General features: G+C 38.6%; 1 protein-coding gene across 24 annotated transcripts in view, besides 1 other annotated feature; it reads left to right on the top strand.

The window, feature by feature from the left end:
* The window catches only part of AGTPBP1 (ATP/GTP binding carboxypeptidase 1), a 258,945-nt gene that overhangs the window by 195,604 nt on the left and 49,278 nt on the right, over window positions 1–14,063 (top strand). For all 24 annotated transcript variants that reach the window (XM_047423094.1, XM_047423090.1, XM_047423089.1 and 21 more), the window contains one exon: window positions 13,431–13,518. In XM_047423094.1, coding sequence (XP_047279050.1) covers window positions 13,431–13,518 — 88 coding nt within the window. The remainder of the gene's footprint in view (window positions 1–13,430; window positions 13,519–14,063) is intronic.
* Window positions 8,705–9,517: an enhancer, noted in NCBI's record as "H3K27ac-H3K4me1 hESC enhancer chr9:88215278-88216090 (GRCh37/hg19 assembly coordinates)". NCBI's record gives its function as "activates a minimal SCP1, AML or CMV promoter by ChIP-STARR-seq in primed H9 embryonic stem cells {active_cell/tissue: H9 hESC(primed)}" and the evidence as "EXISTENCE:reporter gene assay evidence [ECO:0000049][PMID:30033119]".

Genomic DNA, 14,063 nt, shown 5'->3' with positions numbered 1-14,063 from the left:
CTTCTCAAGCTTTTAATGTATTATCAGTATAGACTGGGTTTCCTATTTGACTCAATGAGTTATAATTTGTTGCTATCATTATTTATTTTGATATTCAAATTGTCCAGGATTTGGCCAGTGGGATACCATTAATGCTGGTGTGTGTGCCCTTTTGAGATATCCCTGTCATTCCTTATGGGTGCCCTTGCTTTTTGGCACAAGGCCCATCTTGCTTTTCTCTACCCCTGAATGAAATCTGCCATTTCTTCAAAGAGTGCCATTTTACTTTAGTAGTGAATGATGTTTAAAAACCAAGATCTGGCCGGGCGCGGTGGCTCACGTCTGTAATCCCAGCACTTTGGGAGGCCAAGGCAGGCGGATCACCAGGTCAGGAGTTTGAGACTAGCCTGGTCAACATGGTGAAACCCCGTCTCTACTAAAAATACAAAAATGAGCCTGGCACCTGCATGTAATCCCAGCTACCTGGGAGGCTGAGGCAGGAGAATCGCTTGAACCTGGGAGGTGGAGGTTGCAGTGAGCCAAGATCATGCCATTGCACTCCAGCCTGGGCAACAAGAGCGAAACTCCATCTCAAAAAAAAAAAAAAAAAGATCTGTACACTTGGTATACACATTGCTATTGGGTTATTACTGTTTACAAACTATCTCAATGAACAATTAGGGAGTATATTTAATACATACATAATATTTACACAGTAATTCACATTTGTAGTGGTTTCCATATTTGTAGGTACATATTTATGTATGTGTGTATATAATCACACAAACACACATACACTCCATGAGATTATACTTATACCTTAACTTTCGAGCAAATAACACAGGCTTTATTCTTGTTTTCTTTCCATATTTACAACTTTCTTCTCCAACAGAGATAATTTTGGGCCCCACTGTCCGTAATATATTAACTTGTTTGATCAATTCCAGTTTATGTAATAATCTCCCTGTTGTCTATTTGGACAGATGCCTTCCTCCACCCTATTGAGGGTCTGATATCCCAAATTATTCTTCCTTCCATCCTCCTGCGTGGGTTCCCTCCCTGTTTGTTTTTTTCATTTTGTTTGTAATTTCTAGTTTTAGTACACTGTGACCAGAGTTTGTAATATTTCTGTTTTGTGAAATTTGGTGTTGTTTTCCCTGTGATGTAATATATTATCAGTTTTTGTGAATGTATTGTGCTATTGAGAAGATATATTACTTATATCATCTTATATTATATCTTAATATATTATCATCAAATTCCAAGCAAAGAAGATATCTTTGCTTAAAATTTGCTGATAATATATTGTCATATATATTATCAATTTTTATGAATGTATCATGTGCTGTTGAGAAGAAGATAATAAAGAATATATCTTCTTCACATAAGAAGATATATTTTTCATCTGTATCAGGATGAGACATTTGACATTTAGATGTAAAAATTGCCACATTGATTATGTCATTTGGTTCTCTATATTTTGTTTTCTTGTTCAATTGTTCTATCTTATTCTGAGAGTGGTGTTTTGAAGACTATATCAATAGTATGTCCCTGTCGATTTCTGCTTATATCTTCTGTAGTTTCTGCCTTATGTAGGAGGTTGATCTTATCAGATGCATTGATATTAAGTATTATTATATTTTCATTATGAATTGTGACTTTGTCATTATAAAATTCCTCCTTTTTCTCATTAAATATTTTTTATTCTAAAATCTACTTTAAAGATTTCAACCCCAATTCTGTTGTTCCATCCTCTATATCTTTGCTCATTTTACTATTTATAAACAATTTAAAGTTTGTTATATTCTGTCTTCTAGTAATGCTGAAGGCCTGGGTCATGTGTGGTTTTATATGTGCTACTTATTGAATTTATTTATTTCTTCTTTGGTTGGGATGAAAAATCAAATTCTGAGACTGGAGGATAATGGCAGCCACCTGAATCTGAATCTGAAATCGCAGCTGTAATACTAGACGTGTTAGAAGCATGTATTTTTTTCTACGTAGAGTCATTGGGTGTAAATAACATGCAGCTTACGATAGATGCCTTCAGGTTTATTAGAGCTCCACTTTAAACTTTTCTTGTTCTCCTCATCTGTTAAATGAGGGTGTTAACATCAACTCCAACATTTTACAAATCTGTGATTTATAGTACATTAATGATTATGACCTAAAACACCTCATCTTTCTTTGTATTTGCACATAATATTAACCATGTTCTCAATAAAACTTTGGCCTTTACTTGGATATTATTAGGGGCTAGTGCCATTGGCACTCTGGCAATTTAATATTTTGATTATCTATATTTGAGGCAAAAAATTTACAGTTTTAAGCACACTTGTTTTACATACATGAAGGTTTATCCTTTCACTAATGAATAAATCTTGCTCAGATATAGGCTTTCCATACTATATCAGGTTGAATAGACTGGTTTATTGAGTCTGAGTTTACCTCATTTGATTGATTCTTGCTGGGGCAACTTACTTTGTCCAAATGGTTTTTGTTACAGTCAGAATATCCAAATATAGCTAACTTCACTGTGACCAGCATTTAATATGATTGTTTTAAATGTGATATGAGAATACATTGTTTTAAATGTAATGTAATAATAATTGTTTTTTATAACATTAGAACACATGAGACAAATCTAAAGTGCTATTTGACCTTAACTTGAACCTTTCACTACTTTATATAGTTAACTTTTAAAAATTGATACATAATATTTGCACATATTTATGGGGTATATGTGATATTTTGTTACATGTATAGAATGTGTCACAATCAAGTCAGGGTATTTAGGATATCCATCACCTTGATGATTTATCATTTCTGTATGTTAGGAATATTTTAAGTCCTCTCATCTAGCCATTTTGAAATATACAATATATTGTTACTGATAGTCACCCAACTCTGCTATAGAACATTAAAACATTTCTTTTCTTGAACTATATATTTACACTCATTAACCAACCTCTCTTCACCCCCCTTATCCCTCCCACACACCCTTCTCAGCTTTTGTATCTATTATTTTAATTTCTACTTCCATGAGATCAACTTTTTTACCTACCACATATGAGTGAGAACATGCAATATTTGTCTTTCTATGCCTGGTTTATTTCACTTGACATAAAGACTTCCAATTCCATCCATGTTGCTGCAAAGGACATGATTTCATTTTTTATGGCCACATTGTATTTCATTGTGTATATATATCATTTTCTATATTCATTCATCCATTGATGGATGCTGAGGTTGATTCATATCTTTGCTATTGTGAATAGTGCTACAATAAACATGGGGTGGGTGTAGGTATCCTTTCAGTATACTGATTTCCTTTACTTCGGATAAATACCCAGTAGTGGGATTGCTGGATCTTATGTTGTTTTATTTTTAGTTTTTTGAGAAATTTCTGTACTGTTTTCCATAGTGACTACACTAATTTACGTTCCCACCAACAGTATGTAAGAGTTCTCTTTTCTCCACATCCTCACTAACATCTTTTTTTTTTTTTCTCTTTTTAATAATTGCCATTTTAACTGGGGTAAGATGGTATCTCATTGTAGTTTGATTTGCATTTCCCTGATGATTAGTGATGTTGAACATTTTTTCATATGCCTGTTGGCCATTTGTATATCTTCTTTTTGAGAAATATCTATGTCCTTTGCCTACTTTTTAATGAGATTATTATGATTATTTTTTACTATTGAGTTGTTTGAGTTCCTTGTATATTTTGGATACTAATCCCTTGTCAGATAAATAGATTGTAAATATTTTCTCCCATTCGACAGGTTGTTTCTTCACCCTGTTGATTGTTTCCTTTTATTGGAGAGTTTGGTCAAGTTACATTCATTGTTATTGATAGGTAAGGACTTACTCCTGCCATTTTGTTGTTTTCCAATTGTTTTGTGGTCCTCTCTTCTTTCCCTCTTTCTTTCCTATCTTCCCTTTTGTGAAGGTGATTTTCTCAGGTGATATTTTTTAATTTCTTTTTTTATTTTCTGTGTATCTGTTGTAGGTTTTTTGAGATTACTGTGAGGCTTGCAGATAACATCTTGTAACCCATTATTTTAAACTGATGACAACATGGATTGTAAAAACAAACATTAACAAACAAGTAAAAAGGAAACTAATAAAAACTCTATACTTTAATTTGATCCCTCCTCACTTTTTGACTTTTTGTTGTTTCTATTTATATCTTATTATTCTATGCCTTGAAAAGTTTTATCATTATTTTTGATAGGTTCATCTTTTTGTCTTTCTACTCAACATATGAGTAGTTTACTCACCACGATTACAGTATTATAATATTCTGTGTATTTCTGTGTAGTTATTATTACGATTGAATTTTGTACTTTCTGATGATTTCTTATTGTTCATTAATGTCCTTTTCTTTCAGAATGAACTCCCTTTAGCATCTCTTGTAGGACAAGTATTTGATGTTGATGAATTCCCTCAGCTTTTTTTTGTCTGGGGAAGTCTTTATTTCTCCTTCATGTTTGAAGGATATTTTCAATGGATGTACTTACTATTCTAGGATCAAAGGCTTTTTTCCTTCAGTGCTTTAAATATGGCATGCCACTTTCTCCTGACCTGTAAGGTTTCTACTGAGAAGTCTGCTACCAGATATATTGGAGTTCCTTTGCATGTTATTTGTTTCTTTTCTCTTGCTGCTTTTAGGATCCTTTCTTTATCCTTGACCTTTAGGAGTTTGATTATTAAATGGCTGGAAGTAGTCTTGGGGTTAAATCTGCGTGGTGTTCTATAGCCTTCTTGTACTTGAATGTTGATATCTTTCTCTAGGTTTGGAAAGTTCTCTGGTATTATCCCTTTGAATAAACTTTTTACCTTATCTCTTCCTCTATCTCCTCTTTAAGGCCAATAACTCTTAAATTTGTACTTTTGAGGATATTGAAGTATGCCTCGATATTGTAGGCATACTTCATTTTATTCTTTTTTTTCTTTTGTCTTCTCTGTGTGTTTTCAAATAGCCTGTCTTCAGGCTCACTAATTCTTTCTTCTACTTGATCAATTCTGCCGCTGAGACACTATAATGCATTCTTCAGTATGTCAGTTGAACTTTTCAGTGCCATAATTTCTGCTTGGTTTTTAAAAATTATTTCAGTCTCTTGGTTAAATGCATCTCATAGGATTCTGAAATCCTTCTCTCTGTTCTCTTCAATTTCACTGAGCTTCCTCAAAACATCTAGTTTGAATTCTCTGTCTGAAAGATCACATATTTCTGTTTCTCCAGGATTGGTCCCTGGTGCCTTTGTTCATTTGGTGAGGTCATGTTTTCCTGGATGGTCTTGATGCTTGTGGATGTTCATTGGTGTTTGGGCATTGAAGAGCTAGGTATTTATTGTAGTCTTCAGAGTCTGGGCTTATTTGTACCCATCTTTCTTGGGAAGGGTTTCCAAATATTCAAAGGGAATTGAGTGTTGTGATCTAAATCTTTGGTCACTGCAGCCATATCTGCATTAGGGGGGACCCAAGCCTGGTAACACTGTGACTCTTGCAGACTTGTAGAGATACCACCTTTGTGGCCTTCGGTGAGATACAAGATAATTTCTTGGATTATCAGGCAGAGGCTCTTGTTCTCTTCATTTACTTTCTCCCAAACAGAGTCTGTCTCTCTGTGCTGAGTTGCCTGGAGCTAGGGGAGAGATGATTCAAGCAACCCTGTGGCCACCACCGCTGGTACTATACTGGGTCAGACACAAAGCCAGCATAGCACTGGGTCCTGCCCAAGGCCCATGGCAACCACTGCCTAGCTACTGCTGATGTGTTCACTCAAGGCCCAAGGGCTTTCCAGCCGGGCTTGTGTCCTGCCCTTTAGGGCAATGAACTTCCCTCAGCCCAGGGCAGGTTCCAGAATGCTGTACAGCATTCAGGGCCTAGAGTCGGGAATGTTAGGAATCTACTTGGTGTTCTATTCTGCTGCAGCTAAGCTGGCACCCAAACTGCAAGACAAAGTTCTTCCCACTCTTCCATCTCTTTTTTTCATGCAGAAGAGTCTTTTCCCATATCCATCACCATCCCAGGCCTGCGTTTAGTACTGCCTGGCTCCTGCCGATGTTCCCTCAAAGCACAAGGTCTCTTCAGTCAGCTTGTGGTGAATGCTGTCAGGCCTGGGTCTCTCCCTTCAGGGCAGCAGGCTCCTCTCTGGCCTGGGGCAGGTCCCGAAATGCTGTCCAGAAGCCAAGGCCTGAAATTGGGGACCCTAGGGGCCCTCTTGGTACTGTTGTCAAGCTGGTGACCAAGCTGCAAGATAAAATCCCCTTTACTCTTCTCTCTCCTTTCCTTGAGCAAAAGTATTACCTCCCTGTGGCCACCCCCTGAAGCCAGCATGGCTCTATGTCTCACCCAAGGCTTGCAGTGAGAACTGCCTGGGTACCACTGATGTTTATTCAAGGCCCAAGGGCTCTTTAGCCAGCAGGTAATGAATCCTGCCAGGACTGGGTTGTTCCCTTTAAGGCAGTGGGTTCTCTTCTGGCCCAGGGTGTGTTTAGAAATGTCACCTGGGGCCTGGGGCCTGTAATGGTGGCCTCAGGACTCTGCCTGGTACCCTGTTTTACTGTGGCTGAGTTGGTATCCAAGTTACAAGACAAAGACCTTTTTACTCTCCCGTCTCCACTCTCAAGCTGAAAGAAGAAGTCTCTCCTGGACCTACAAGCTGTGCTTCCTGGGATTGGGGGAGGAGTGATGTGAGTACTCCCTTGGCTGCTCTGATTGGTGTCCCACTGGGCCACATGCACCCCACATTCACTGGCTCTGAGCCCAGCATAGCACCAGGACTTGTCCAGAATTTCAGTTCTTGTGACCTAGACTGCCTTTCAAGTTTATGTAGGACGCCAGAGTGCCTTAGCCTTCGGTGGTGGGGCTAGCCGGAACTCAGGTTCTGACAGCTGGGATGGGCAATTCCCATCTGGCTAGGTCAGTCTAAATACTCCCTTCGTGAACACCGGCTGAGTTCTGCCTAGTGTTGCCTTCTGCTGTGACATTGACAGCACTGAGTTCCAATGCAAAGTCCCACAGTCACTGCATGTTCTCTCCCTGAAGCACACAGATTCTCTGCTCCATGTGGCCACTGGGGCTGGACTGCGGGAGTGGTGTGAGCAATTCCAGATTGTCTTTCCTACCCTCTTCAGTGCATTTCCTTGGTATGATCGCTCACCTAATTTTTGGTTCTTAAAAAGGTGCTTTCTTGCGTGGATAGTTGTTCAATTTGGTGTTCCTATTGTGGGGCATGGAGTGGGGGGCGGTGATCACTGGAGGCTTCTATTTGGCCATCTTGTTCTGCCTCTCAGCTGTTTATTTTGTTAAATAGGTTTACTTTCCCTCACATCTTCTCTTTGCTTCCTGCAACACCAAAAAATTGAATATGTGTTTGCTTTATGGTGTGCCATATGTCATGTAGGCTTTGTTCATTCTTTTTTATTCTTTTTTTCTTTATTTGTGTCTGACTGGGTTATTTGAAAACACCTGTCTTTAAGTTCTGAAATTCTGTCCTCTGCTTTAGTCTATTGTCAAAGCTCTCTAATATATTTTTTTCTATCATTTAATGAATATTCTTCAGTTCCAGTATTTGTTTGCTTTTTAAAAAATGATATCTGTTTTGTTAAATTTCTCACTTATCATCTGAATTGTTTTTCTGATTTCTTTGTATTGTTTATCTGTGTTCTCTTGTATCTCACTGAGCTTCTTTGATACCATTATTTTGAATTACTTTTCCAGCATTTCATGTATTTCTTTCTCGTTGGAATCTGTTGCTGGAGAATTATTGGTTGCTTTGGAGGTGTCATATTTTCTTGTTTTTTCGTGTTTCTTGTGTCCTTATGTTATTATTGGCACATCTGGTATAACAGTCGCATCTTCCAATTTTTTTATTTACTTTCATGGGGAGGACTTTTTTCTGAAGGCAAGTCTATGATACTGGCTGGATAGGGCACTGTGGCTTTGATTCTGGGTGGATGCAGTAATGTGGCCCCTGTAATTTCTTCACTGGCTTAGGGTGTGGTTGTTAGTGGTGGCTGTGGTGAAATTTGCTGGGAATGAGGATGCCAGGTCGGCCATTCCTTGGGCACCAGTGGTGGCAACAGCAGGCCAAAGATTCCTGTCCTTAGGACCCAGCATGACTGGTGTTAGTGGGTCTAAATGGGCCAGTTCTTGGGCCCCCATGCAACTTTCTCAGATGCTGGCAGTTGCAGCTTTGGGCCAGATAGGTGGGTGGGTCCTTTGGCTCCTGAGCAGCAGGCATAGCATGAGCAATGAGAGGATCAGTGGTGGGACAACCCTCTGCCTCCTAAGCAGTCTGTGCTAGTGTTGGTGGTGGCTGTGACAGGCTGGGTGGTCCAGTCCCCAGACCCACAGATGGTATGTGTGGGTGTGTGCCAGCTGTGGTGGTAGTGGCAGATGAGGTGGCCCATCCGCAGACCCCTGGGAGGAGTGCTCAGGTGCCAGCGCTGGTTGACATGGCTGAGTGATCCCTAGGCTCCCAGGTATGCTCTGGTATTGGGGATGGTGGGGGAGCCAGGCCAGGCAGGCCTGTCCTCAAGCCCCTCACGTGATTTACAGGGGCTCTGGCTATAATGAGGACGGCTGGGTGATCCCTAGGCTCCCCTTAGAGTGTTTGAGTGAGGGCAGCAGCAGTGCTGGTGGGCTGGGGAAGTCTGCCTGCCCCCAGGGCGCTTGCAAATGCACCTCAGCCCTGCTGCTAGGGATTGCTATGCAGCTATCAGTGGCAGCAGCTGTAGGCGAGTGGCTGGGGAATGTGTGCCTCAGCCCCAGGCGACAGCTGGGGACCTGGGAGCCTGTTTGCAAGGCGTGTGTTAATATAGGGTGACCACACTGCCAAGGGCAATAAGGGCAATGGAGTTGCTACCAGGGAATTGTGCTTTGGCCCCAGTGACAGCAATCAGCAGTGGTGGTGGCTGTGGGTAGGGGACCCTGTCCTCTGGGCACGTGCAAATGCATGACAGCTTGCTGCTGGGAAGTGGGGTCTCTGCCAGTGACTGTTGCTTAGGTTTCAGTGGCAGCAGCTTGTGGCATTGGTGGCTGTGGGTTGGGGAGGCAGAGGCTGTTGGGCCTCGGGGCAGGATGCAGTTGAGTGGGGGCTGGGTTCTCAAAACTGTGCCAATGCTGCTGCTGCTTAGGTCACACCCCGTGTGAGTTCACTCTCTGGAGCAATACCTTTGTGCAGTCTCGAAGCAGCTCCCTGTGTTAGTCTTGGGACCTGTGAGGATGGAGGGCTCCCCCCTGGCTAGGATTGGAGGAGTCTGTAGTGCGGATGTGGACCACTGAGAATCTCACTTACCCTTTTCCTGTACTGGGAAGCCTCCCTGGTCTCCTGGCCAAGTAGCCTGCCTGCCTTCCCTCTCCTTCCTTGTCTTAGGTGTTCTTGTTACTTCTCTGTTGAGTTTCAGTGTTCTGTCTTAGATGATCTATTTTAAGTGTGGTTATCTACTCACTGTTTTGCTGCTGCTTTGTGGAGGACGTAAGTGCCAGATGCCTCTAGTCAGCCATCTTGAAGCCCCTCCTCTGTCTCCTGTAGTCACTGTTGAAACTATTATAATGAGTTTTGTGTTATGGTGAGTTTTATGTGAGTGGAGGGGTCAAAACTTCAGATTGAAGTGGCTCACTGAGTCCCAGGAAGGGATCAGGAAGGCAGACTTATTTTATATGTACCAGTGAAATTTCTGAGTTTCAAGTATAAAGAGAAAATTTTAACATGCTTCCACTTTAAAAGAATAGGTTACTTAAAAGGAAATAATGATAATAGTAATACCAGTAGCTAACATTCATTGAATATTTGCCGTATGCCAGGCCTTGTTCAAGTGCTAACACATGTGATATTTTCCATCCACACAACAAACAACCCAGTGAGGTTGTCACCCTCACTTTACAGAAGAGAAAATGGGGGCATAGAGTGGTTAATAGTCTGGCCAGGATCATGCATCTGGTATGTGGTGAAGTTGGAATTCAAACCCAGGAAGTTTGGTTGCAGATTGCATGCTCTTAATCACTGTATTTTTATGCATATTTAAAAAATTAAACTAGTATTGGACTGTTCATCTATAGCACTGGAAGCCAGTGGACATCCAAATGTCTTTTGAAGAATCTGTAAATTGTTTGTCACTGCCAACAAACTGCATGTCAGCGTTTATAAGAATTCAGAAAATGTACAGAGTGAAGGTCTGTCTCAAAAACAGTAATTCAGAAAATATGCTATCTGATCTCTTTCTGAACAAAATGAGTAAAAGGTCTCAAGATAGAAGTATTGGAACTTATAAAACGTGTTAACCAAAAATATTCTAAGGGGGGTAATATAGGAGAAGTGAAAATTAACTTGTGTCAGTGGGATGGCTTAGTTAGTTCATTTAATATAGTGTTAGAAAAATATCAATCATGACTATGAGGGTGGAAAAGTAGAATTGAAAAGCGTGATAGAAGGCTTCCAAATTAAGGAAGAAAAGAAAATGTGGAGCAATGCCACCAAACCAATAAAAATAAAATGGTAAGGAAGAACAATAAAAGCATTTGTTGGTATCAGAAGTAGAAAATAAGATGGAGAGAATACAATGAAATGTATATCCGTCATCACCAACTATGAATAAACCATGAAGTACCCTCAAAAGGTCAGAGATTGAAAGTAACACAGTTTAGTGGGATCTCTCTCTGCCTCTCTTCCTCTCTCCCTCTCTCCTTCTGTCCCTCTCTCTCCCTCTCTCCCTCTCTCACCTGCTCCCTACTGTGTGTGTGTGTGTGTGTGTGTGTGTGTGTGTGTGTGTGTGTGTTCAGTGACAAGGTTGAAAACGAATGGACGAAGATGAACTAGGCAAATGAAATTAAAATAAAGCAAAAGTGGTTAATATTAGTGTCAGTCGGCCGGGTACGGTGGCTCACGCCTGTAATCCCAGCACTCTGGGAGGCCGAGGCGGGCGGATGACCTGAGGTCAGGAGTTTGAGACCAGCCATGGCAACATGGTGAAACCCCATCTCCACCAAAAAATACAAAAATTAGCTGGGCACGGTGGCATGCGCCTGTAGTCCCCAGCTACTCGGGAGGCTGAGGCAGGAGAATCACTTGAACCTGGGAGGTGGAGGTCACAGTGAGCCGAGATCGCACCATTGCACTTCAGCCTGAGCAACAGAGCAAGACTCCATTTTGGAAAAAAATAATAATAATAAATAATAATGTCAGACTAAAACGTCAGGGTCAAAAACACTGACTTGCATAAAGACAGATATTTTGTATTTACAAGTTGCAATCCTTGAAGATGCTGTAAACCTTTACACAGCACAACAACCCTGGCCACATGGCACTTACATAAGCAGGGCAGAAATCTCCAGGAAATACAACTTGATTAGAAAACATTTATGAGAATTTAAAGTACTCCTTTCAGAATTTGACATATCAAGAAGACAAAAATAAGTAAGGCTATAGAGAATTTGAATAATATAATCAACAAGATTGATTGTTTGATTCACTAGGATCCCATTTGAAACCCGAGATGGAGATGTGAGATACAAGAACAAGTGGTACTAATCTGGGAGTCCAGTGAAAAGAAATAACAAGATGAAATCAGATTTCCTAGGCAGCAACTCATCCAAATTAGAATTATAAGTTAGTGGTATCCTGGAAATACACTTTAAAAAAAGTGGACTGGATTCTAAGAAATGATATAACATGATAAAGAAACTGAAAACTTAGGGACATCAGGGGAGAGAGAGAGAGAGAGAAATACCAAAAGCGATGAGGAAAAAGTGAGATTCTGAAGAAGCTATAGCTGTTGAAGGGAAATTTTTAAAAATATGTTTATTAATGCTGCCATATTGACATGGTATTCCAGCTGAATTGTATTTATCCTTTAAAAAATAGATGGTGCTTTTATTATTTATTCTAATAAGTGATGGAAAGTTTTAAAATTTAGTTTTCTGAAGCTAGTATAATCTTACCAATACTTGGTAAAAGTAAATTGAAATAAGAAAGATCATCTTAAGAACTTAGATGGAAAAATTCTAAATATTAGCTAACTTAGTCACATAGTGTTAAAAGAGTAGCATTTTCTTAGAATGCAAAGATAGTTCAACGATAGGAAACCTGTCAACATAATTTATTGCATCAGCAGTTTAAAGGAGAAAAGCCATCTGATTCTATTATTAGATGTTGAAAAGGCATTTGATGAAGTAATTAAAACTGTGAAGTATAATAAAAATTATGGTGGAACTACTCAAGTTATGGGAATAATAATAGCATTTACCACCTAAGTGTGGTTGTAAGGATTTAATTACTTAATACATGTAAAAAACGTTAGAGCAGTGTCTCACATACAGAAATTATTCATTGTTAGCTATTTTTGACTTAAACATAACAAAGTTGATTTGCAAAAAAGTGGCAAATATTACATGGAATGGCAAAACATTTTGGTTCAAGTCATGAAAAAGAATTGTTTGTTCTTACCACTATATTCGGCATAATTTTTTTGAGGTTTCATTTATCTAAATGTAGTAAGAGGAGAAAATGAAATAAATGATATAAATACTAGAAGAGGAGATAAAATATTTTAATTATATTACTAAAAAATCCATGAGACTACTAAAAACCTGTTAAAATTAGTGAGTTTATTTGATAATGTGAATATTAAGATAAATACAAAAAATAAATGAATAGTGCTTCATTGTTGGAATAACCAGTCAGAAATGGAAAGGGAAAAAAGAATCTTATAAAAATACTCACAGGTAAGTTTAATAAAATTATTCTGTACCAGGAAAAAAAAATGACTCTATCCTTAAGTTAGAATTTAAGGCAAGTCAAACCAGATCTCAATAAAAATTGTCAGCCTTTCTATAATTAACATGAATTTAATTCAGTTCCATTTAGAAACCTAATATATCATTTAGTAATTAGGTAAGGTGATTTTAAAGTTCATGTGGAAAATATATTTCTAAGAATATCCAAGAAAGTATACTTTATATTTTTGAGTCCCTCTTCGTTTTCTCTCCTACAAACACATATATGTATGGAGAACGGTGGGGAGGAAAGCAAAGATGCCATTTTGGTGGTGTTTTCCCATTAATTTTAGTGTAGATGGAAATCCACGGAGAGTTAGAGGGGTGATTGTACATTATGTCTTTACATATGTTTTGGCTGTTTCACTTTTTATAAGGAATATATTATCTTTAATTGATTTCATGTAGAAAGTTTAATAGAAAAGAGTTTAATGACTTCTCACTCTAAAGTTGTAATCCTGTATTAAACTAAAAAATAAAAGCATATCATTGATTGACTTGGGATGTTTAAGAAATGCATCAGATTTTTAAAATACATACTAAAAAACTGAAATGTAATTTACTTCTGCTTTCCTGAATGTTTGGTGCTTTCTACAAAGGCAAGATTAATTTTTAATTGAAAAATTATGAAAATAATTTTCTCTCTTTTTTTCTCTCTTTCAAAGGTATGCAACCACTCATGTATTCGGTTCAGGAAGCATTAAATGCCAGACCATGGTGGATTCGTATGGGGACTGACATTTGTTACTATAAGTAAGTATTTTAAGAATATTAATAGAATGTCAGCTTACAGAAGGCAGTATTAAGTACATCCTGTTTCAGTGTAAAAGGAAACAGTAGAGTTATTATTGCATACTTTGAATTGTGGTGCTATGCTTTAGTAATTCTAAAGAGTCCTTTTGAACTTGAGATCCACTTATGGAGTGTATGTAGTAGAAGTAAAATGTGTTGTATAGGCAGACAAACTTAGGTCCAGGCTGTGTCTCCACCACTTAGAGAGTTATGTGTCCTCAGCTTTTCCAGCTTTAAAACTCTGGAAACTTTATTGAATAAAACTGAAAATAGAAATTACGAGTAATAATTTGCAGTGGCTTTTTATTGTTCCTATGATATCAAGTATAACTCTTATCTTTTCCCTTTTTATATTAACACACAAATATTTACTTCATTTTAATTTCCAAAATGTTAACTGGAGATGTGTTCCAAATACAGTACATCAGCTTAACACAGTTCATCTTTGACTGTAAATATGTGATCTACTTATAGCAAATTAGAAATAAGTGCTAGAGGCTGGGTGT

The sequence above is a fragment of the Homo sapiens genome, chromosome 9 (assembly GCF_000001405.40).
Source record: "Homo sapiens chromosome 9, GRCh38.p14 Primary Assembly".
Lineage (NCBI taxonomy): Eukaryota > Metazoa > Chordata > Mammalia > Primates > Hominidae > Homo > Homo sapiens.
This window is presented reverse-complemented; position numbering and strand designations above follow the sequence as displayed.